The sequence below is a fragment of the Homo sapiens genome, chromosome 12 (assembly GCF_000001405.40).
Source record: "Homo sapiens chromosome 12, GRCh38.p14 Primary Assembly".
Taxonomy (NCBI): domain Eukaryota; kingdom Metazoa; phylum Chordata; class Mammalia; order Primates; family Hominidae; genus Homo; species Homo sapiens.
In genome coordinates this window covers 108983283-109007832 of record NC_000012.12, presented here as the reverse complement: position 1 = coordinate 109007832, position 24550 = coordinate 108983283, and the positions used below count along the sequence as shown (strand labels likewise).

The 24550-nt window shown below is 44.4% G+C and overlaps 1 protein-coding gene and 1 long non-coding RNA gene across 2 annotated transcripts in view; one reads left to right on the top strand and one right to left on the bottom strand.

Moving 5' to 3' along the window:
* The window catches only part of SVOP (SV2 related protein), a 113328-nt gene that overhangs the window by 13236 nt on the left and 75542 nt on the right, over positions 1–24550 (top strand). Inside the window, exon 2 of the mRNA NM_018711.5 lies at positions 24072–24232. Within this exon, the coding sequence (NP_061181.1) occupies positions 24072–24232 (161 nt within the window). The remainder of the gene's footprint in view (positions 1–24071; positions 24233–24550) is intronic.
* On the bottom strand, positions 112–24078 carry LOC105378256 (uncharacterized). Its single transcript, XR_945331.3, has 3 exons — positions 23990–24078; positions 13750–13930; positions 112–753 (listed from the first exon to the last, which is right to left on the bottom strand). It is a non-coding gene; the product is annotated as an uncharacterized LOC105378256 (long non-coding RNA).

Sequence of the window (24550 nt, the reverse complement as noted above, 5' to 3'; positions counted from 1 at the left end):
CTCCTGGGCTCAGGTGATCCTCCCACCTCAGCCTCCCAAGTGTTGGGATTATAGGCATGAGCCACTGTGCTGGCTGAAACTAGAGTTATTAATAATACTTCCCTGTTATGATTGTTGAGTGCATTACATAAGATAGTTTATAACACTCAGGCTTGGACCTGGCATGCTGAAGTGATGCATAAATATTAAATATCATTACTCCTGAGCCAATCACAGGGACACCTGCCTCTGTTGCAGTGCCTCTCATGAGAGTGAGCCCACTGCCTCCTAAAGCAGCCATTTTCATCTCTCGACTTCTGTGCCTGATAAGGCTCCTCTTTATATTGAGTTGAGATCTGCTTCCTTCTTTCTTATACCCAGAAGTTCAAGCTCTGCTGTTAGGATTCAGGTTGAGAGGCACCTTCTTTCACAGGTCAGAGCCTCAAATATTTGAAGAAGAGGTTCATCTCCTGGGAAGACTCTTCTCAAATCCTACAGCTCAGGGAGTGCCCCAGGTCTTGTCTTGAAGGAGACAAAGCAAGTCCATATGTTAGTGACCTTGGCAGTCTCTGCTGCTTCAAGTGCACAGCATCTAACTCCATTTGTTGATAAGTTTCAGATTCAGAAGACGCCACATCACCAGGGTATCTGGGACAAAGCTGAGGGATACTGGTTATCAGTGTTTTTGATCGAGTTCCCCAAACAAGGTGATCCCTTCTTGCAACCCTGCCTTCCACTGGCAGAGGAGCCTCCCTATGAAGATGTCTTCTTGTACTATTTGGAAGAGTTGGGGAGAAAGGGATGAATATTTAACAAAAGCCTCAGCCCTCCACCTCTCCAACCCCCCTAATCCAAACCACCACCACCTCTTCTCCCACTGGCCACACAGCTTCCTTCCTGGCCTCCCTGACTCCTCTGCAGCCATCTTTTTGTATTAACCAGGCCATTGATTGTTTATATTCTGATGCTTCAGCATCTTGGAGGCTTGCTGACCCTGGAGGGACTTGCCCCTCTCAGAGTTAACTAATTCCTAGAAATAGCAAACAGCTCACCTGCCAGCGTGCCTTTCCTATACAAACCAATCAGGCCAGAGCCTCAGGTCTCTCCAGCCGCCTTCTTTATCCAGCTCCCAGACTCCAGGCCACATCTACCTGCCCTCATCACCCCAGAACCAGGCATGAGACAATTAAGGACAGCCCCTATGCTCCAGAGAAGGATGAAATTATTCAAACGAACCGAACCTAAGCCGGCAGCCTCTGCCTTGCCCATTTCTTTCCTGGGAAACCACAATAAAGGCTCTTGGTCACGTTCTCCCCCTATACCCTCTGCCTCCTGACAAACCCTGGGGCTGCCATGTGTGCCCCTTAAAGTGTGGCATGCCCCTTCTTCTTGGGATCTGTAAGTATGACAGAGTATATCTTGTCAATGGCTCACATCTCGTGATTTCTCAGCCTTGCCATACCTAAATAATATTAAAACCTATATTTAAGAAACGCTTTCTGGGGTGGGCACAGTGGGTCACCCTGTAATCCCAGCACTTTGGGAGGCCCAGGTAGGCAGATCATCTGAGGTCAGGAGTTTGAGACCTTTCTGGCCAACATGGTGAAACCCCATCTCTACTAAAAATACAAAAATTAGCCAGGCGTGGTAGCAGGCAGCTGTAATCCCAGCTACTTGGGAGGTTGAGGCAGGAGAATCGCTTGAATCCAGGAGTGAGAAGTTGCAGTGAGCCGAGACTGTGCCACTGCACTCCAGCCTGGGTGACAAGAGTGAGACTCTTTCTCAAACAAAACAAAACAAAACAAAACAACCCACTTTCCTCCATTGATTCCTCCTCTTGCGGGAGAATGTGCTGAGTGACCTTCTCAAAACTCAACTCTGATCATCTTCCACCCTCTTGCTGCTACTTGAAACCCTTCCATGGTGTCCCACTGGTCTTAGGACAACACAGAAAATCCTCACTGTGACCTCCAGGGCTCTGTGTGATCCCAGCTGTCTCTCTGACCTCTGTTCCCTGGTCCCACCTCCAGGCCTTTGCACTAGCTGTTCTCTCTACTCCTCCCCTATTTGTGTGGGACTGTCTTTGTCCCCTTGATCTCTCCTTGGGGAGGTCTTTTCTGATCACTCACTTTTTTTCTTTAGGCCTCAGTTTTATCATCTGTAAAGTGGGGACAGGAATGGCACCCACCTTCTAGGGCATGAGGGTTCCTTGGGTACCACTGCTGTCCCCACTTGGCACCCTGTTTGCTTCCTCCTCAAGATATATTTCCTTTGCAAATGTATAGTGATGTATTTGTTTACTTGTGTATTAACCACCTTGCCAACCAGAGCATCCACTTCTCGAGGTCAGGGACCATGTCAATTTCATCCTCCATTGGACCCCAGCACTCACTCAGCATGTCAGCCCTCAATAGATGCTTATGGAAGTACTGAATGGTCCTGCTAGGCTCTTCCAGATGCTCTCGATAGATAGACTCCTATGATCTCCATGGCTACCCTGTGAGGTAGGAATTACCATTTCCATTTTATAGGTGAGAAAACTGAGGCTCAGAGAAGCAAAGTAAACTACCCAGGGTCACACAGGTACTGAATGGTGTGGGTAGGGGATTCAAACCCAAGTCAGTCTGTTTGCCAGAGTTGGGCTCTCTTGTCTACTCCGATGGACCACCTCTCTGACTCTGAATTCCACACACAGATAATCACAGCTTAAGCTTCCTTTTCAGTCTGATAGCTTGAACTCTGATAGCCTGAACTCAAGGGCTAAAACTCCAGAGGCCGAGATGAAAAGAGAGAAAACTTCCTTATTTAAAATACCTGGCTAGGCACAGTGGCTCACACCTGTAATCCCAGCACTTTGGGAGGCCAAGACAGGTAGATCACTTGAAGTCAGGAGTTCGAGACCAGCCTGGCCAACATGGTGAAACCTCGTCTCTACTAAAACTACAAAACTTAGCTAGGCATGGTGGTGGATACCTGTAATCCCAGCTACTCGGGGGGATGAGGCAGGAGAATCACTAGAACTCGGGAGACGGAGGTTGCAGTGAGCCAAAATTGGGCCACTGCACTCCAGCCTGGGTGGCAGAGTGAGACTCCATCTAAAATAAAATAAATGAAATGAAATGAAATGAAATGAAATGAAATGAAATGAAATACTTGTATCAGGCCGGGCATGGTGGCTAACACCTGTAATCCCAACACTTTGGGGATCACTTGAGCTCAGGAGTTTGAGACCAGCCTGGGCAACATAGCAAGACCTTGTTTCTACTAAAATTAAAAAAAAATATGCTGAGCATGCTGGCACATAGCTGGAGACCCAGCTACTTGGGGAGCTGAGGTGAGAGGATTGCTTGAGCCTGGGAAGTCGAGGCTGCAGTGAGCCCAGATCTGCACTCCAAACTTGGGCAACAGAGTAAGACCCTGTCTCAAAAAAAAAAAAAAAAAAAGTAGCAATACCTGAATCGAGTCACAGGCCCTAATTTAAGGTACCGAGGAAAATTCTATGGTGGTACAAACAAGATCTTTAGGTTGACAACTATTTCCTCAAGTTCTTCTCTTCCTTAAATAGCAAAATTATGTAAAACAAATGTTCCCTGCTATTTTGGTAAATTATATGCTATATATATACATATACAACAAATGGCAAGAGATTGTGAGCCAGCTTGTTTTGAAGCCTTCATATATTTAACATATGCCACTGCTATTTTCTTTTTCTTTCATATTACTTTTTTTTCCCCTCAGGAAATCTTGGCTCATGTAGTTGACAAATTCTTTTAGGAACCCGACTGATTCAAAATGTAGACTGGCTTTCTGAGTACTGTACAATTCAATGTCAAAGGTCCCTCTTTATTTCTGTTTCAAAACAAACTTTAATAAACAAAGGTGCCCTCGCTTTTTGTGGTTTGCCAGAGAAGAAATGTGAGCAGGTCCAGGTTTAAAACTGCAGGGAGGTTGGGCTCTGTGGCTCACGCCTGTAATCCCAGCACTTCAGGAGGCTGAGGCAGGAGGACCACTCAAGCCCAGGAGTTTGAGACCAGCCTGGGCAACATAGTGAGACCCTATCTCTACAAGAAATTTTAAAATTGGCTGGATACGGTGGCAAACGCCTGCAGTCCTAGCTACTGTGGAAGCTGAGGCAGGAGGATCGCTTGAGCCCAGGAGTTGGAGGGTGCGGTGAGCTTTATTGCACGACTGCACTCCAGCCTTGGTGACAGAGCAAGACCATGTCTCAAAAAATAAATAAATAAAACTGCAGGGAGCTAAGCCATTTTCTCAAAGTCACTTTTTACAAGGGTCAATGTACTCCAAACTCAAGGTAGAGAGGTGACTTGGAGAAGACAGGTTGCAGGAAGCTCATATTTCCTCATTGCTCACAATTTTCCTCTTCATCAAGCTCAGTTAATGCTCACAACCGTCTGCAAGCTGGCTGTCATTCCCACTTCACAGACGAAAGCAGAGCATAGTCATGCTTAGCAGCATGCTGTTCCATCAACTAGAGCACGGTCAATAGTTGCTGTTGTTATGTATATTTATAATAAGAGCAGTAGATGCCCAGGTTAAAAATGTCAAACATTACAGAAGGGTCCAAAATGAATAAGCAAAAAAAATGTGTCTTCCCTCAAAACTTCCCATTCCCGTCCAGTTCTCCTCCCCAGAAGAAACCAGAGTTAGGCTTCTTATGTGTCCTTCCCAAATGTCTATGATTGTCTAAGCATAACTCCTCTAGAACAGTATTTCTCAGACTGTAGCATGCAAACAAACTGCCTGGAGACTGGTTAAAATGCAGATGCTGATTCAGTAGGTTTGGTACAGGGTCTGAGACTCTGCATTTCTTGTTTTTTTATTTTTATTTTTATTTATTTATTTATTTATTTATTTTTAATTTTTTAATTTTTTTTATTATACTTTAAGTTTTAGGGTACATGTGCACATTGTGCAGGTTAGTTACATATGTATACATGTGCCATGCTGGTGCATTGCACCCACTAACTTGTCATCTAGCATTAGGTATATCTCCCAATGCTATCCCTCCCCCCTCCCCCCACCCCACCACAGTCCCCAGAGTGTGATATTTCCCTTCCTGTGTCCATGTGATCTCATTGTTCAATTCCCACCTATGAGTGAGAATACGCGGTGTTTGGTTTTTTGTTCTTGCGGTAGTTTACTGAGAAAGATGATTTCCAATTTCATCCATGTCCCTACAAAGGACATGAACTCATCATTTTTTATGGCTGCATAGTGTTCCATGGTGTACATGTGCCACATTTTCTTAATCCAGTCTATCATTGTTGGACATTTGGGTTGGTTCCAAGTCTTTGCTATTGTGAATAATGCCGCAATAAACATACGTGTGCATGTGTCTTTATAGCAGCATGATTTATAGTCCTTTGGGTATATACCCAGTAATGGGATGGCTGGGTCAAATGGTATTTCTAGTTCTAGATCCCTGAGGAATCGCCACACTGACTTCCACAATGGTTGAACTAGTTTACAGTCCCACCAACAGTGTAAAAGTGTTCCTATTTCTCCACATCCTCTCCAGCACCTGTTGTTTCCTGACTTTTTAATGATTGCCATTCTAACTGGTGTGAGATGGTATCTCATTGTGGTTTTGATTTGCATTTCTCTGATGGCCAGTGATGATGAGCATTTTTTCATGTGTTTTTTGGCTGCATAAATGTCTTCTTTTGAGAAGTGTCTGTTCATATCCTTTGCCCACTTTTTGATGGGGTTGTTTTTTTTTCTTGTAAATTTGTTTGAGTTCATTGTAGATTCTGGATATTAGCCCTTTGTCAGATGAGTAGGTTGCAAAAATTTTCTCCCATTTTGTAGGTTGCCTGTTCACTCTGATGGTAGTTTCTTTTGCTGTGCAGAAGCTCTTTAGTTTAATTAGATCCCATTTGTCAATTTTGTCTTTTGTTGCCATTGCTTTTGGTGTTTTGGACATGAAGTCCTTGCCCATGCCTATGTCCTGAATGGTAATGCCTAGGTTTTCTTCTAGGGTTTTTATGGTTTTAGGTCTAAGGTTTAAGGCTTTAATCCATCTTGAATTGATTTTTGTATAAGGTGTAAGGAAGGGATCCAGTTTCAGCTTCCTACATATGGCTAGCCAGTTTTCCCAGCACCATTTATTAAATAGGGAATCCTTTCCCCATTGCTTGTTTTTCTCAGGTTTGTCAAAGATCAGATAGTTGTAGATATGCGGCATTATTTCTGAGGGCTCTGTTCTGTTCCATTGATCTATATCTCTGTTTTGGTACCAGTACCATGCTGTTTTGGTTACTGTAGCCTTGTAGTATAGTTTGAAGTCAGGTAGTGTGATGCCTCCAGCTTTGTTCTTTTGGCTTAGGATTGACTTGGCAATGCGGGCTCTTTTTTGGTTCCATATGAACTTTAAAATAGTTTTTTCCAATTCTGTGAAGAAAGTCATTGGTAGCTTTATGGGGATGGCATTGAATCTATAAATTACCTTGGGCAGTATGGCCATTTTCATGATATTGATTCTTCCTACCCATGAGCATGGAATGTTCTTCCATTTGTTTGTATCCTCTTTTATTTCCTTGAGCAGTGGTTTGTAGTTCTCCTTGAAGAGGTCCTTCACATCCCTTGTAAGTTGGATTCCTAGGTATTTTATTCTCTTTGAAGCAATTGTGAATGGGAGTTCACTCATGATTTGGCTCTCTGTCTGTTATTGGTGTATAAGAATGCCTGTGATTTTTGTACATTGATTTTGTATCCTGAGACTTTGCTGAAGTTGCTTATCAGCTTAAGGAGATTTGGGGCTGAGACAATGGGGTTTTCTAGATATGCAATCATGTCGTCTGCAAACAGGGACAATTTGACTTCCTCTTTTCCTAATTGAATACCCTTTATTTCCTTCTCCAGCCTAATTGCCCTGGCCAGAACTGCCAACACTATGTTGAATAGGAGTGGTGAGAGAGGGCATCCCTGTCTTGTGCCAGTTTTCAAAGGGAATGCTTCCAGTTTTTGCCCATTCAGTATGATATTGGCTGTGGGTTTGTCATAGATAGCTCTTATTATTTTGAAATACGTCCCATCAATACCTAATTTATTGAGAGTTTTTAGCATGAAGGGTTGTTGAATTTTGTCAAAGGCTTTTTCTGCATCTATTGAGATAATCATGTGGTTTTTGTCTTTGGCTCTGTTTATATGCTGGATTACATTTATTGATTTGCGTATATTGAACCAGCCTTGCATCCCAGGGATGAAGCCCACTTGATCATGGTGGATAAGCTTTTTGATGTGCTGCTGGATTCGTTTTGCCAGTATTTTATTGAGGATTTTTGCATCAATGTTCATCAAGGATATTGGTCTAAAATTCTCTTTTTTGGTTGTGTCTCTGCCCGGCTTTGGTATCAGAATGATGCTGGCCTCATAAAATGAGTTAGGGAGGATTCCCTCTTTTTCTATTGATTGGAATAGTTTCAGAAGGAATGGTACCAGTTCCTCCTTGTACCTCTGATAGAATTCGGCTGTGAATCCATCTGGTCCTGGACTCTTTTTGGTTGGTAAACTATTGATTATTGCCACAATTTCAGCTCCTGTTATTGGTCTATTCAGAGATTCAACTTCTTCCTGGTTTAGTCTTGGGAGACTGTATGTGTCGAGGAATTTATCCATTTCTTCTAGATTTTCTAGTTTATTTGCGTAGAGGTGTTTGTACTATTCTCTGATGGTAGTTTGTATTTCTGTGGGATCGGTGCTGATATCCCCTTTATCATTTTTTATTGTGTCTATTTGATTCTTCTCTTTTTTTCTTTATTAGTCTTGCTAGCGGTCTATCAATTTTGTTGATCCTTTCAAAAAACCAGCTCCTGGATTCATTAATTTTTTGAAGGGTTTTTTGTGTCTCTATTTCCTTCAGTTCTGCTCTGATTTTAGTTATTTCTTGCCTTCTGCTAGCTTTTGAATGTGTTCGCTCTTGCTTTTCTAGTTCTTTTAATTGTGATGTTAGGGTGTCAATGTTGGATCTTTCCTGCTTTCTCTTGTGGGCATTTAGTGCTATAAATTTCCCTCTACACACTGCTTTGAATGTGTCCCAGAGATTCTGGTATGTTGTGTCTTTGTTCTCGTTGGTTTCAAAGAACATCTTTATTTCTGCCTTCATTTCGTTATGTATCCAGTAGTCATTCAGGAGCAGGTTGTTCAGTTTCCATGTAGTTGAGAGGTTTTGAGTGAGATTCTTAATCCTGAGTTCTAGTTTGATTGCACTGTGGTCTAAGAGATAGTTTGTTATAATCTCTGTTCTTTTACATTTGCTGAGGAGAGCTTTACTTCCAACTATGTGGTCAATTTTGGAATAGGTGTGGTGTGGTGCTGAAAAAAATGTATATTCTGTTGATTTGGGGTGGAGAGTTCTGTAGATGTCTATTAGGTCTGCTTGGTGCAGAGCTGAGTTCAATTCCTGGGTATCCTTGTTGACTTTCTGTCTCATTGATCTGTCTAATGTTGACAGTGGGGTGTTAAAGTCTGCCATTATTAATGTGTGGGAGTCTAAGTCTCTTTGTGGGTCACTCAGGACTTGCTTTATGAATCTGGGTGCTCCTGTATTGGGTGCATATATATTTAGGATAGTTAGCTCTTCTTGTTGAATTGATCCCTTTACCATTATGTAATGGCCTTCTTTGTCTCTTTTGATCTTTGTTGGTTTAAAGTCTGTTTTATCAGAGACTAGGATTGCAACCCCTGCCTTTTTTTGTTTTCCATTTGCTTGGTAGATCTTCCTCCATCCTTTTATTTTGAGCCTATGTGTGTCTCTGCACGTGAGATGGGTTTCCTGAATACAGCACACTGATGGGTCTTGACTCTTTATCCAATTTGCCAGTCTGTGTCTTTTAATTGGAGAATTTAGTCCATTTACATTTAAAGTTAATATTGTTATGTGTGAATTTGATCCTGTCATTATGATGTTAGCTGGTGATTTTGCTTGTTAGTTGATGCAGTTTCTTCCTAGTCTCGGTGGTCTTTACATTTTGGCATGATTTTGCAACGGCTGGTACCGGTTGTTCCTTTCCATGTTTAGCGCTTCCTTCAGGAGCTCTTTTAGGGCAGGCCTGGTGGTGACAAAATCTCTCAGCATTTGCTTGTCTGTAAAGTATTTTATTTCTCCTTCACTTATGAAGCTTAGTTTGGCTGGATATGAAATTCTAGGTTGAAAATTCTTTTCTTTAAGAATGTTGAATATTGGCCCCCACTCTCTTATGGCTTGTAGGGTTTCTGCCGAGAGATCTGCTGTTAGTCTGATGGGCTTCCCTTTGAGGGTAACCCGACCTTTCTCTCAGGCTGCCCTTAACATTTTTTCCTTCATTTCAACTTTGGTGAATCTGACAATTATGTGTCTTGGAGTTGCTCTTCTCGAGGAGTATCTTTGTGGCATTCTCTGTATTTCCTGAATCTGAACATTGGCCTGCCTTGCTAGATTGGGGAAGTTCTCCTGGATAATATCCTGCAGAGTGTTTTCCAACTTGGTTCCATTCTCCCCATCACTTTCAGGTATACCAATCAGACGTAGATTTGGTCTTTTCACATAGTCCCATATTTCTTGGAGGCTTTGCTCATTTCTTTTTATTCTTTTTTCTCTAAACTTCCCTTCTCGCTTCATTTCATTCATTTCATCTTCCATTGCTGATACTCTTTCTTCCAGTTGATCGCATCGGCTCCTGAGGCTTCTGCATTCTTCACCTAGTTCTTGAGCCTTGGTTTTCAGCTCCATTAGCTCCTTTAAGCACTTCTCTGTATTGGTTATTCTAGTTATACGTTCTTCTAAATTTTTTTCAAAGTTTTCAACTTCTTTGCCTTTGGTTTGAATGTCCTCCCGTAGCTCAGAGTAATTTGATCGTCTGAAGCCTTCTTCTCTCAGCTCGTCAAAGTCATTCTCCATCCAGCTTTGTTCCGTTGCTGGTGAGGAACTGCGTTCCTTTGGAGGAGGAGAGGCGCTCTGCGTTTTAGAGTTTCCAGTTTTTCTGTTCTGTTTTTTCCCCATCTTTGTGGTTTTATCTACTTTTGGTCTTTGATGATGGTGATGTACAGATGGGTTTTTGGTGTGAATGTCCTTTCTGTTTGTTAGTTTTCCTTCTAACAGACAGGACCCTCAGCTGCAGGTCTGTTGGAATACCCTGCCTTGTGAGTTGTCAGTGTGCCCCTGCTGGGGGGTGCCTCCCAGTTAGGCTGCTCGGGGGTCAGGGGTCAGGGACCCACTTGAGGAGGCAGTCTGCCCGTTCTCAGATCTCCAGCTGCGTGCTGGGAGAACCGCTGCTCTCTTCAAAGCTGTCAGACAGGGACATTTAAGTCTGCAGAGGTTACTGCTGTCTTTTTGTTTGTCTGTGCCCTGCCCGCAGAGGTGGAGCCTACAGAGGCAGGCAGGCCTCCTTGAGCTGTGGTGGGCTCCACCCAGTTCGAGCTTCCTGGCTGCTTTGTTTACCTAAGCAAGCCTGGGCAATGGCGGGCGCCCCTCCCCCAGCCTCGCTGCCGCCTTGCAGTTTGATCTCAGACTGCTGTGCTAGCAATCAGCGAGACTCCGTGGGCGTAGGACCCTCCGAGCCAGGTGCGGAATATAATCTCGTGGTGCGCCGTTTTTTAAGCCGGTCTGAAAAGCGCAATATTCGGGTGGGAGTGACCCGATTTTCCAGGTGCGTCCGTCACCCCTTTCTTTGACTCAGAAAGGGAACTCCCTGACCCCTTGCGCTTCCCAAGTGAGGCAATGCCTCGCCCTGCTTCGGCTCGCGCACGGTGCACGCACCCACTGACCTGCGCCCACTGTCTGGCACTCCCTAGTGAGATGAACCCGGTACCTCAGATGGAAATGCAGAAATCACCCGTCTTCTGTGTCGCTCACGCTGGGAGCTGTAGACCGGAGCTGTTCCTATTCGGCCATCTTGGCTCCTCCTCCTCTATTTATTTATCTTGAGACAGGGTCTTGTTCTGTCACCCAGGCTGGAGTGCAGTGGTGTAATCACAGCCCACTGCAACCTCAAACTCCTGGGCTCAAGTGATTCTCCCACTTTAGCCTCCTGAGTAGCTGGGACTGCAGGCACACGCCACTACTCCCGACTAATTTCTGTATTTTTTGTAGAGACGGAGGTCTCACTTTGTTACCCAGGCTGGTCTATAGCTCCTGGGCTCAAGCGATCTTCCAGCCTCAGCCTCCCAAAGTGCTAGAATTATAGGTATGAGCCACGATGCCTGGCCAAGATTCTGCCTTTCTAACAAGCTCCTAAGGGATTGCTGGGGCCTCTGGTTCAGAACCACACTTAAGTTTTTCTTTCTTTCTTTTTTTTGTTTTTCGATGGAGTCTTGCTCTGTTGCCCAGGCTGGAGTGCAGTAGCGCCATCTTGGCCTGCAACCTATTTCTCCTGGGTTCAAGCGATTCTCTTGCCTCAGCCTCCTGAATAGCTGGGATTACATGCATGAGTCACCATGCACAGCTAATTTTTGTATTTTTAGTAAAGACGAGGATTCACCATGTTGGCCAGGCTGGTCTCAAACTCCTGACCTCAAGTAATATGTTCATCTTGGCCTCCCAAAGTGTGGGGACTACAGGCATGAGCCTCGGCATCTGGCCAGGACCACACGTAAGTTTTTGAGTATTGAGGACCTAGCTCACAGGACCATGCTATACCACTTTTTCTTTTTGGAGAAACAGAGTCTCACTTTGTTCTCCAAGCTGGTCTCAAACTCCTGACTTCAAGTGATCTTCCCACTTCTGCCACTCAAAATGCCAGGATTATAGGCATGAGCCACTGTGCCCAGCCCATTTTATAGCACATTTAATAATGAGCCTCAACAATCTTGCCCTGTTGACCCTTACAGATCAGCGTGTGTGTGTGTATGTATGTATGTATGTATGTGTGTGTATGTATGTATGTGTGTGTGTGTATGTTTATTGTGGTAAAATATATGTAACATAAAATTTACCATTGACATTTTTTTTTTTTTGAGACAGAGTCTACCTGCGTTGCCCAGGCTGGAGTGCAGTGGTGCGATCTCAGCTCACTGCAACCTCCCCCCTCCCAGATTCAAGCGATTGTCCTGCCCTCAGCCTCTTGAGTTGCTGGATTACAGGCATGACCCAACACGCCCGGCTAATTTTTGTATTTTCAGTAGAGACAGGGTTTCACCATGTTGGCCAGGCTGGTTTCAAACTCCTGACCTCAAGTGGTCTGCCCTCCTGGGCTTCCCAAAGTACTGGCATTATAGGACCATAAACCATTTTAAGTGTACAGTTAGTGGCATTAAGTACATTCACAATGTTGTGCAACCATCACTATCATCCATCTCCAGAATTTTTTCATCCTCCCCAACTGTACTCATTAAACACTAACTCCCTATCCTCCCTTCCCCCCAGCCCCTGGTAACCACTATCCTGCTTTCTACATCTGTGAATGTAAGTGTTCTAGGTCCCCTCACATAGGTAGAATCCTCATATAGGTAGAATCCTTTTGTGACTGCCTTACTTCACTCCGCATAATATCTTCAAGGTTCATCCATGTTGTAACATGTGTCACAATTTCCTTTCTTTTTAAGCCTGGATCATATTCTATTGTATATATTGTTCACATTTTGTTTATCCATTTATCTGTTGGATATTTCTGCCTTTTGGCTGGTTGTTTCTGCCTTTTGGCTATTTTGATACAGGCCAACTTAAAAATTTGTTAACATTTTTATTTATTTATTTATTTTTAATTTTTTTTTTGAGACAGGTTCTAGCTCTGTTGCCCAGGCTGGAATGCTGTGGTGTGATTGTGGCTCACTGCAGCTTTGACCTCCCAGGCTCAAATAATCCTCCCACCTCAGCCTCCCGAGTAGCTGGGACCACAGACACGCACCACCATGCCCAGCTAATTTTTTAAAAATTTTTTGTTGAGATGAGGGTCTTACTATGTTGCCCAGGCTAGTCTTGAACTCCTGGGCTTGATCAAGCAATTCTCTCACCTTGGCCTCCCAAAGTGCTGAGATTACAGGCATGAGCCACCCTGCATGGCTGTAAAAACATTTAAAAAGTGGATGTGCTATATCCATTTAATCACCCCTGTCCTAATGATCATTTCTAGTGTTCTATTATCACAATCAAAGCTGCAAAGAGCATGCTAGCAGCAGAAGGGACTATAGCAGGGTGGCTGGACTGGAGACTCTGAAGTCAGATGGCTTTGCCAAAGCGTGGCTTAGCCACTTACTGTGTGACCTTGGGCGAGCTTGCCGCCCCTCTGTGCTTAAGTGTCCTCATTTGCAAAATAGGGATAGTGAAAATGCGTATTAAATAAGATAATCCATAAGGCACTGAACTCTGGACCTGAAACATGGCAAACTAATGGTCCATATCAGCTGTTCTTTATTCTTATTATTTTTTGACAGAGTTCACCATGTCACCCAGGCTGGAGTGCAGTGGCGTGATCTCAGCTCACTGCAACCTCTGCCTCCCGGGTTCAAGCGATTCTCCTGCCTCAGCCTCCTGAGTAGCTGGGATTACAGGTGCATGCCACCAGGCCCAGCTAATTTTTGTATTTTTAGTAAAGACGGGGTTTCACTATGTTGGCCAAGCTGGTTTGAAACTCCTGACCTCAAATGATCTGCTCACCTTGGCCTCCCAAAGTGCTGGGATTATAGGCTTGAGGCACTGTGCCTTGCCCCGTATCAGCCAAGATCAGTATCGTAAGTTATTGCCATCTTGTTTCCATCCCTGTAATGAATTGCCAGCAGAACAAAGCTGGTGGCAGCACGGGACATTTAAACATTGTGAAAGCTATCACAAATTACCTTCCAAAAGGTTGCAGTGGTCACTATTAGTCCACAGAAGGAAGTAGGGAGCCGTGGACGGTCCTTGCGGCGAAGATGTGACAAAAGGAGTATTCAAGGAAGATGATCAGGCCACACAGCGATTTCTTTCTGTGATATCCTCAGAGTCAAGGGTACTGATCCATTGACCTTGCCTTCATTCCTAAAGATGAATTGAGAATGCACGCAAACGTTCATGTCCTTCCTTCCTGGGATATTTCTCTATGTGTCCATCTTCTGTGAATACCTTAGGGGACTCTTCACGTTTTTGATTTTGGGGTTGCTTCTTTGGGACTGGGGGTCCCACTCACTTGTAGTTTCCTTTCTGTAGCCCATTTCACACCACCCCTCACTTAGTGGGTTCCATACGTGAAATGTCACCCCCACCATAAGCCTTTCACAGCACCCAGTTTATTTTATTTGCAGCATTTCTTACAATGTGCAAACCATCTATATAGTGATGTCCATTTTTAATCATTATTTTTCTTTTTAAAATTCTTATCCCCTCCTGGTAGACTATGAGCACTGCAGAAAGGCATTGACGTCTGATGACCTTAGTGATCCCAGCAGCACCTTTGGGCCTGGCACAAAGCAGGTGCTCTTTCGATATTTGTTGGATAAGGGATTTCAGTAACATCTGTGGCAGTGCTAAGAGCTAAGGATTTTCTTTTCTTTTTTTTTTTTTTTGAAGGCAAAATACACATAACGTAGACTTTACCATTTTAACCTTTTTTTTCCCCTTAGAAATGGGGTCTTGCAGCTGGGCACCATGGCTTACATCTGTAATACCTGCACTTTGGGAGTCCGAGGTAGGTGGATCATCTGAGGTCAGGAGTTTGAGACCAGCCTGGCCAACATGGTGAAACCCTGTCTCTACTAAAAGTGCAAAAGTTAGCCGGGCGTGGTGGTGCGTGCCTGTAATCCCAGCTACTTGGGAGCCTGAGGCAGGAGAATTGCTTGAACCTGGGAGGCAGAGGTTGCAGTGAGCCTGGGTGACAGAGTGAGACTCCGTCTCAAAAAAATAAAAGACGGGGTCTCGCTATGTTACCCAAGCTGGTCTTGAAGTCCTGGCCTCAAGCAGTTCTCTTGCTTTAGCCCATCCACGTAGCTAGGATTACAGACACATGTGCCACCCCAGCCCCCCACCATGTCTGGCTCTATTTTAACCATTTTATTTATTTTTTATTTTTTTCCATCTTAACCATCAATTAAAGTGTGCAGTTTTACAAGGTTGCACAACCCTCATCTCTGTCTAGTCCCAGAGCATTTTCATCACCCCAAAAGGAGACCCCACACCCATTAAGCTGTGACTCCCCATTCCCTGGCAATCCCCTAGCCCCTGGTAGCCACTAATCTGCTTTCTGTCTCCATGAATTCTGGACACTTCATTTAAGCGGACTCATATCTATGTGAGCTTTTGTGACTAGCTTCTTTGCTCAGCGTAATATTTTTGAGGTTCATCTGTAATGTAGCATGTGTCAGTAGTTTCAGGAGGTTTCTGTTTGTTCATTTGTTTTGTTTTTCAGAGACAGTGTCTCTTTCTGTTGCCCAGCCTGGAGTGCAGTGGTGTGATCATAGCTCACTGCAGCCTCGACCTCTCAGGCTCAAGCGACCCTCCCACCTCAGCCTCCTGAGTAGCTAGGACTACAGGCACACACCACTGCATCTGGCTAATTTTAAAATTCTTTGTAGAGATGGGGTCTCCCTATTTTGCCCAGGCTGGTCTTGAACCCCTAGACTGAAGTGATCCTCTTGCCTCCGCCTCCTAAAGTGCTGGGATTACAGGTGTGAGCCACTGCACCCCTGAGGACTTTTTTTTTTTTTAACAGTGATGTGCTAGAGCCCGATGGTACCAGTTCTAGAGAGCAGATGGATTGTTAAATATGCAAGAATTTGGGGAGCCTGTTATTTAGTCACTGACAGGCTGAAACAAGCCATCGTGGGAGTATCTAGGACGCAGATATTGGTAAATACTACAAATCAATATTGTTGGGGGAGGGTATTTGAGAGCCAGTTTATACGCACACCGCTGACTTTCAAGCACCCCCACAATCTCTATCAGCATCCCTGAGAAGTTACCGTAACTAAATACCTACTTTGGTTTATTTCTTTATTTCTTTAGAGTCAGGATCTCACTCTGTTGTCCAGGCTAGGTGCAGTGGTGCAATCATAGCTCACTGTAGCCTCAACTTCCTGGGCTCAAGAGACCCTCCTGCCTCAGCCTTTTGAGTAGCCAAGACCACAAGTATGTGCTACCATGCCTGGCTAATCTTTTTTTTTTGTTTTTTTTTGTAGAGATGGGGTCTTACAGGCTAGGGGTGATGGCTCACGCCTGTAATCCCAGCACTTTGGGAGGCCAAGGCAGGTGGATCACCTGAAGTCAGGAGTTTGAGACCAGCCTGGCCAACATGGAGAAAGTCTGTCTCTACTGAAAATACAAAAATTAGCCAGGCGTGGTGGCACATGCCTATAATCCCAGCTACTCAGGAGGCCAAGGCACGAGGATTGCTTGAACTCGGGAGGCAGAGGTTGCTGTGAGCCAAGATCAGGATACTGCACTCCAGCCTTGGTGACCTAGCAAGATTCTGTCTCAAAACAAACAAACAAACAAACAAACAAACAAGCAAAACCCGAGATGGGGTCTTGCTGTGTTGCCCAGCCTGGTCTCAAACTCCTGGTCTCAAGCAATCCTCCTGCCTTGGCCTCCTAAAGTGCTGGGATTAGAGGCGTGAGCCACCATGCAGACCTCTTAAATACCTATTTTGAATAAAACAGTGTTCTTGCTGGGCAAGTACTGCTTAAGAGATGTCCTGGGTCCCACCTTCTAACCAGATATCCAGGCCTAAGGCAGTCTGTCACCAAGCCTTTGCTCCTAAGTGACACCTGCCTTCCAGCTGCAAGGGATGCCCCAGCTCCAGACGGCAGGATGTTTGCCTGAGTCCTGTGTCATAGGTCTCTCAGGGTAGGACGGTGAGTTGTAGACGCCCAGCTCAGCCAACAAGAGAGTGGAGACTCCTCGGGGCTCAGTCCCTCAGTGCTTCTGCTTCACGATGGGGTTGAGGGCAGGGGGACAGCAGAATCGCTTGCCTGCCTCTGATGAACGAGAAGAGCAGTCCCCAGATCAGCAATGCCAGCAGCATCTGGGAATGCACTCAAAGTGTAAAGGTTTGGCCCCAGGTCAGACCTTCTGAATCAGGCCTTCTGGGGGCGGGGCCCAGCCATCCATGTCGTGACCAGCCCCGTGGGAGTTCTGAGGCTGCATCCAGTTCAAGAACCCCTGGACTCAAGTGACAGTCCAAAGAGCTGTCAGTCAGGCTGGAATGGAGCTGTGCCTTTTGTTTTTGTTTGTTTATTTATTTATTTATTTATTTTTCTGTTTTGTTTTATTTTATTTTATTTTATTTTTTATTATACTTTAAGTTCTAGGGTACATGTGCACAGTGTGCAGGTTTGTTACATATGTATACATGTGCCATGTTGGTGTGCTGCACCTATTAACTCGTCATTTACATTAGGTATATCTCCTAATGCTATCCCTCCCCCCTCCCCCTATCCCACGACAGGTCCCGGTGTGTGATGTTCCCCTTCCTGTGTCCAAGTGTTCTCATTGTTCAGTTCCCACCTATGAGTGAGAACATGCGGTGTTTGGTTTTTTGTCCTTGCGATAGTTTGCTGAGAATAATGTCCATCAATGATAGACTGGATTAATAAAATGTGGCACATATACACCATGGAATACTATGCAGCCATAAACACCATGGAATACTATGCAGCCATAAAAAAGGATGAGTTCATGTCCTTTGTAGGGACATGGATGGAGCTGTGCCTTTTGATTCCTGCTCCAGAACACACGCTGTTTTCCACTCTCTGGCAAGCCTGCCCACACAAGCCAGCTCAGTTTAGACCTTGCATTCATTCCTGAGATATGTGAATGCTTGGGAGAGGCACTGACCTGACGCCCAGTGATTAGGACTGAAGGCGCTATTACCAAAGACCACCAAACTGAAGCCTCGGCTCCTTCAAGCTGTGTGACCTAGGGCAACTGCTGTAACCTGAGCAGCCATTTCCTCATGTATAAAATGGGTATAATAACTGTACCTAATTCATAAGTTGATTGTTAAGGTAGCAGGAGATAATATAAAGGGCTTCGCATAGCTCTTGGCTTATAGCAAATGCTCAATAACTAGTTGCATGGTTTGAGGGCTATTATCCAAGGAGTTCGAGGAAGGGGAATTCAGTGATGAATCCCTCACATTTGTCTCGTGCTTTACAATTAATTTGTATAATAACTCTGCAGGAACTTCTTTGTAGCAGATATGGTTGGTGCTCTTTACAGATTCCTTTAGCAGGCTGGCACTCCCCCAGCTATTGCCAGTGTTGGTTCACAACTGTAGCTCCCTCTGGATTGCCCCTGGTGGAGGGGAGCCACCTTGTCTGGGAGATTATGCTCTCCACTGCTGGGGGTGGTGTGGCCAAGGACTGACTCATATGAGGGTGTAACAGCCCAGCCCTCACACCCCCGGGCGGGACCCTCTCAGTGTCACGATTCACACTTCAGAGCTCCCTGTGGGGTCAGGCTGAGGCTAGACTTCAGCAGGAGCTACATCCTTTCTTAGCTTCCTCCTGCTTTCCAGTGGGTTTCTCTTTAGACTCCTTCCTCAGTAAATCGCTTACACAAACATCGCCATCTCACTGTTTTCAGAAATAGAAAAATCCTAATCCCAGCACTTCGGGAGGCCAAGGCGGGAGGATGGCTTGAGGCCAAGAGTTTGAGACCAGCCTGACCAACATAATGAGACCCCTGTCTCTACGAAACAAACTAACAAAAAGCTAGGTGTGGTGGTGGTGCGTGCCTGTAGTCCCAGCTACTCAGGAGGCTGAGGCAGGAGGATCACTTGAATCCAGGAGTTTGAGGCTGTAGGGAGCTATAATAGTGCCATTGCACTCTAGTCTGAGCAACAGAGCGAGACTCCGTCTCAAAAGAAAAAAAGGAGGGTGGGCATGGTGGCTCATGCCTGTAATACCAGCACTTTGGGAGGCTAAGGCAGGCCGATCACTTGAGGTCAGGAGTTCGAGATCAGCCTGGCCAATATGGTGAAACCCCGTCTTTACTAAAAATACAAAAATTAGCTGGGTGTGGTGGCATGCGCCTGTAGTCCCAGCTACTCAGGAGGCTGAGGGAGGAGAATCACTTGAACCTGGGAAGCGGAGGCTGCAGTTACCAGAGATCATGCCATTGCACTCCAGCCTGGGTGTCACAGCGAGACTGGGTCTCAAAAAAAAAAAAAAAAAAAAGAGAGAAAAGAAGTAAGAAAGGAAGAAATAAAGGGAAATCTACCTGAAGATTCATATAGAATCTCTCAAGGGACACCGAATAACTAAAACAATCTTGAAAAATAAGAACAAAATTAAAGGTCTCACACTTTCCAATTTCAAAACTTACTACTACTTACTTGGGTGTGGCTTAAGGATAGACATACAGATCAATGGAATAGAATCAAGAGCTCAGAAATAAATTCTCGAATCATATGATTTGATTAAATGATTTTCAAAATGGTGCCAAGATCACTCAGTAGGGGAAAGGACAGTCTTTAAACAGATGGTATTAGGAACATTGGATGTCCGTATGTGAAAGAATGAAGTTGGACTCTTACCTAACACCATATATAAAAATTAACTCAAAATGGATCAAAGACCTAAACCCATAAAAGTTGAGAAGAAAATATAGGAGAAAAGCCTTATGATCTGGACTTGGCAATGATTTCATGGGTATGACACCAAAAGAGCAGATAATAAAAATAAAAGTAGATATATCGGGCTACATCAAAATTTAAAACTTTTGGCCTGGCGTGGTGGCTCACACCTGTAATCCCAGCACTTTGGGAGGCCAAGGTGGGTAGATCGCTTTAGCTCAGGAGTTCAAGATCAGCCTGGCCAACATGGTGAAAACTCATCTCTACAAAAAAAGAAAAAAAAATTAGTCAGGCATGGCCGTGTGCACCTGTAGTCCCAGTTACTCAAGAGGCTGAGGTGGGAGGAGCACCTGAGCCCAGGAGGTCGAGGCTGCAGTGGGCCATGATCACGCCACTGCACTCCAGCCTGGGTGACAGAGTGAGACCCTGTATTAAAATTTTTTTTTTCAAACTTTGGTGCATTCAACGATCACAATCAATAGAGTAAAAAGGCAATCCAAAGAATGGGAAAAATTGTTTGCAAATCATATGTCTGATAAGGGATCTATATCCAGAATACAGAAAGAAGTACAAGTCAACAACAAGAAGTCAAACAACCCAAGTTTAAAATAGGCAAAGGACTTCAATAGACATTTCTTCAAAGATGTACAAAGGGCCAATAAGCACATAATAAGTTGCTCAACATTAGGGAAATGCAAATCAAAATCACAATGAGATACCATCTCACACCCATTAGGATGGCTGTTATCAAGCAAATGGAAAATAACAAGTATTGGCAAGGATGTGGAGAAATTGGAATCTTTGTGCATTGCTTGTGAGAATACAAAACGGTGCAGCCACTGTGGAAGACATTCTGGCAATTCCTCAAAAAATAAAACATAGAATAACCCTTTCATCCAGTAATTCGTCTTATGGGTCTATATCTAAAATAAGTGAAAGCAGGAACTCAAATAGATATTTGTACACTCATGTTCATTACAGCATTATTCACAATAACCAAAACATGGAAACAACCTGTCCATCAACAGATGAATGGATCAGCAAAATGTGGTCTGTCCACACAATGGAATATTATTCAGCCTTAAAAAGGAGGGAAGTTCTGCAATGTGCTGCAACATTGGATGAGCCTTGAAGACATTATGCTAAGGGAAATAAGCCAGACACAAAAGGAAAATTACTGTATGATTTCACTTATCTGAGATCCCTAGAGGAGTCAAATTCATAGAGACAGAAAGTAGATTGGTGCTCGTCAGGGCTGAATAGGGGAAAATGGAGCATTGATTTCTATGGGTACAGAGTTTCAGGTGAAACTTAATGTCACTGAATTGTACACTTATAATGGTTAAAATGGCAAATTTTGTATTTTAATATGGCATGTATATTTTACCACAGTAGAAAAAGAATCCCTGTTTCACGATTTTCTTCTAGGACACCTGACTTACGGCACAACTATCACACCAATGTATAGAAGAGGTAAACTGAGGCTCAGAGTGACTATGTGTTTGTCTTATCCAGTGGGGATAATAATAGTCTCCACCTCTCAAGTTTACTCTGAGCATTAAATCAAATAATGATGCCTATAAAGACCCCCCCCTCCCCGATCAAAGAAGAGCACTGGCGACAGAGTGAGAACCTGCATCTCATGGTATCTCATTGTGATTTTGATTTGCATTTCCGTAATATTGAGCAACTTATTATGTGCCTATTGGCCCCTTGCATGTCTTCTTTGGAGAAATGTCTCTTGAAGTCCTTTGCCTATTTTAAAATGTGAAATGCCTATGAAGATGTGAGCGATGGAGACAGGATGGCTTCAAGTAAACTAGGGACAAATGTTGGCGATTTCACATGGGTCAACCTAATAGTCTAATCCTTTAGTTAAACAGCAGAAACAAAGATATTTCTCTCATTGTTATGTATGTAATTTTATATGCTTGAAATATCTCAAAATAAAATATCTTTATTAAAAAATAGAGTAAATGGGAAGCAATGGAAGAGTCTGAAGAGGTGTTACCCTCTCATTGGCCAGGAATACAGTGTTTTAAGCCAGATAAACCTGTGGTTGAATCCCGGTTCCATGCCTGTTTAGTTATGGGACTGTGGGCAAGCCATGTGACTTCTAGGACCTCAGTGTTCTTGTCTGTAAAATGGTGATAATAATATGAACTTCAGAGTGGTGCTATGCAGATCGAGTGCACAGAAAACAGCTGGAACTTGCACAGAGCACAAACTTGATTCTATTAGAGGTGACTGTGGTAGAGGGGGTGAAATGTTAGCACCAAGCTTCAAACCCCACCAGTCTGTCTGCCAGCCCTGTGCTGGGCCCTGCATTTCCCTGCCAAGACGAGCCTGACAGCTCAGGTTTTCCAAGCCCAGCCTTGCCAAGGAGTGGAGTTTCAGGTGTTTACAGAATTACTGTGATTTAATCTGTCTTTTCTCTTCTAGAACTTCACAAGCAGGTTATGTTCCCTGTGCTTCTGAAATCCAGAGATTTACCCTTTCTATGCCAGCACAACAGTTACTCTGGTGAAATACATGGAATGATGCAATCGTTAATAATAATAGCAGTATTTTGAACTTAAATATTTCTCTTTTTTTTACCTTTTAAAAACATGGATCAAATGTGTACTCCATCTGCTCATATACTACCTCTGCTATTCATGCCCATGTAACTCCAGACTTTTTTCTTTTTCTTAACAAATAAAATCCTAGGATCTTGCTCTGTCACCCAGGCTGGAGGGAGTGGTGCAATCTTGGCTCACTGCAACCTCCACCTCCTGGGCTCAAGCAATCCTCCCACCTCAGCCTCCCAAGTAGCTGGGACCACAGGCACATGCCACCATGCCTGGCTAATTTTTGTATTTTTTGTAGAGATGGGGTTTTGCCATGTCAACCAGGCTTGTCTTAAACTACTGGACTCAAGTGACCCTTTCACGCCAGCCTCCCAAAGTGTGGAGATTATAGGCGTGAGTGACCATGCCCAGCCAGACTTTTTTATTTTCCTTTTCCTTTTCCTTTTATTTTTTCTTTCCTTCCTTCCTTGCTTCCTTCCTTCCTTTTTTATTTCTTTCTCTCTCTCTTTCTTCTTCTTTCTTCCTTCTCCTCTCTCTCTCTTTCTTTCTTTTCTTTGTTTCTTTCTTTTTATTTTTCAGATAGGGTCTCTCTCTGTTGCTCAGGCTGGAATGCAGTGGTATGATCACGGCTCACTGCAGCCTCACCCTTATGGGTTCAAGTGATCCTCCCACCTCAGCCTCCCAAGTAGCTGGGACCAAAGTCACACACCACCATGTCCAACTAATTTTTTTCTTTTTTGTAGAGATGGCATCTCACTATGTTGCCCAGGCTGGTCTTGAACTCCTTTGCCCAAGCAATCCTCCCTCCTCAGCCTCCCAAAGTGCTGGGATTACAGGCATGATCCACTGTACCCAGCACCCCAAACTTTCCTCAAAAAGTCTATGAGGACTCAAAGCTGTGATAGAAAGGACTTGCACATTCGGTATCACTATCCCCTTGAGAGACTGTGAGGTCAGAACACATCTGTCTTTTCAGTGCTATAACCCCAAAACCCACCCTAGGGCTGGGAGACAGCAGGAATTTTGTGTTTGGGAGTGAGAAAGTTGGAAGGAGACAGGTAATTTTGCCCCGGAGTCCCAGATGAAGAAACTACTGCCCAGAAAAATCAAAGCTTCTTGCAGAGGAACAAGAAACAGCATAGTTTGAAGGACATATTGCATAAGAGTGGGGCCCATGGGGTCTCAAACTCAAATGTCTACAGGGCCTGACAAATGGGGCCACGTGCCAAGTGAGAGGAACACAGAGCAAGTGCAAGGATAACTGGCAAAAGACCCTTAGGGCTGGAGATAATGAGACAGTGGTCAACTGTGGAGTGCATGACCCATCTAAAACAGGGGTTGGGGTGGGCCGGGGACCACCACTGCCCAGACCTAGCACAATTCCAATGCAGGAATGTGGGCTCCAGACAGCGAGATATTCTACTTTTTCAAGAGACATTGGGATTCTGGCTTTTTATGTGAATTTTCCCAATTTTAAAATTTTGGCACCAGGCGTGGTAGCTCACACCTGTAATCCCAGAACTTTGGGAGGCTGACGAGGGAGGATCACTTGAGCTCAGGAGTTTGAGACCAGACTGGGCAACATAGTGAAACCTTGTCTCTATTCTAAAAAATGGCATCCACTTTAAACTTTTAGAAATATGGTGTGAGCAACTTTTTGTGGGCCTAACATGACCTTTAGATGACCAAAATGTTAGATATAGACAGATGAGTCTAAAATCTGAAACAAATGTACTCACAAACAGTATTCTGGCCTAAAACAAAGATATCCTCAATCACATAACCTACTTTGTGAATAGGAAACCCTGGAATTGGGCAGTGCCCAATCTGCTCAACTGTATATGGCAGTCCTGATATTATAACTCTTGAAGTTATTACTCTCCCCAACCCCAGTCCAAATCAATAGAAATGCTAACCCCCATCCATCAACTCTCCAAACCATGAGAAGAAGTCTTTCACCTGTCCTGGTCACTAGAGCTGTGCAGCAAGGCCATTTGGGGGAAGCTTTAGCCATCTTGACCAGATTTGTTCTGTTCTCTAGGGTTGTGAAATTCCGTCGCACAGGCGAGAGTGCAAGGTCAGAGGACGACACGGCTTCAGGAGAGCATGAAGTCCAGATTGAAGGGGTCCACGTGGGCCTAGAGGCTGTGGAGCTGGATGATGGGGCAGCTGTGCCCAAGGAGTTTGCCAATCCCACTGATGGTGAGAGGGCCCTGCAGTTGGGGAATCAGCCTGGGCCACGGTCAAGGTTGCCTACCCAGCAGGCAATTTCAGAGGGGTAATGTGAAGGGGCAGTTGGGAGGGCCCAGGGGGCCAAGGGGTGGAGCTGGAAGTGGGAGCTGAGCCTACATAGCTTACTTCAGCAGGCAAGGTTACATCACAATCCCTGCCAGTCAGCATCAATGCACAACACTTGGCTGAGGATGGCAATAACAATGATGATAATGGTGACAAAGATGATGATGGTGATGATGATGATGATGATGGTGGTGGTGATGATGGTGGCAATGATGATGGTGA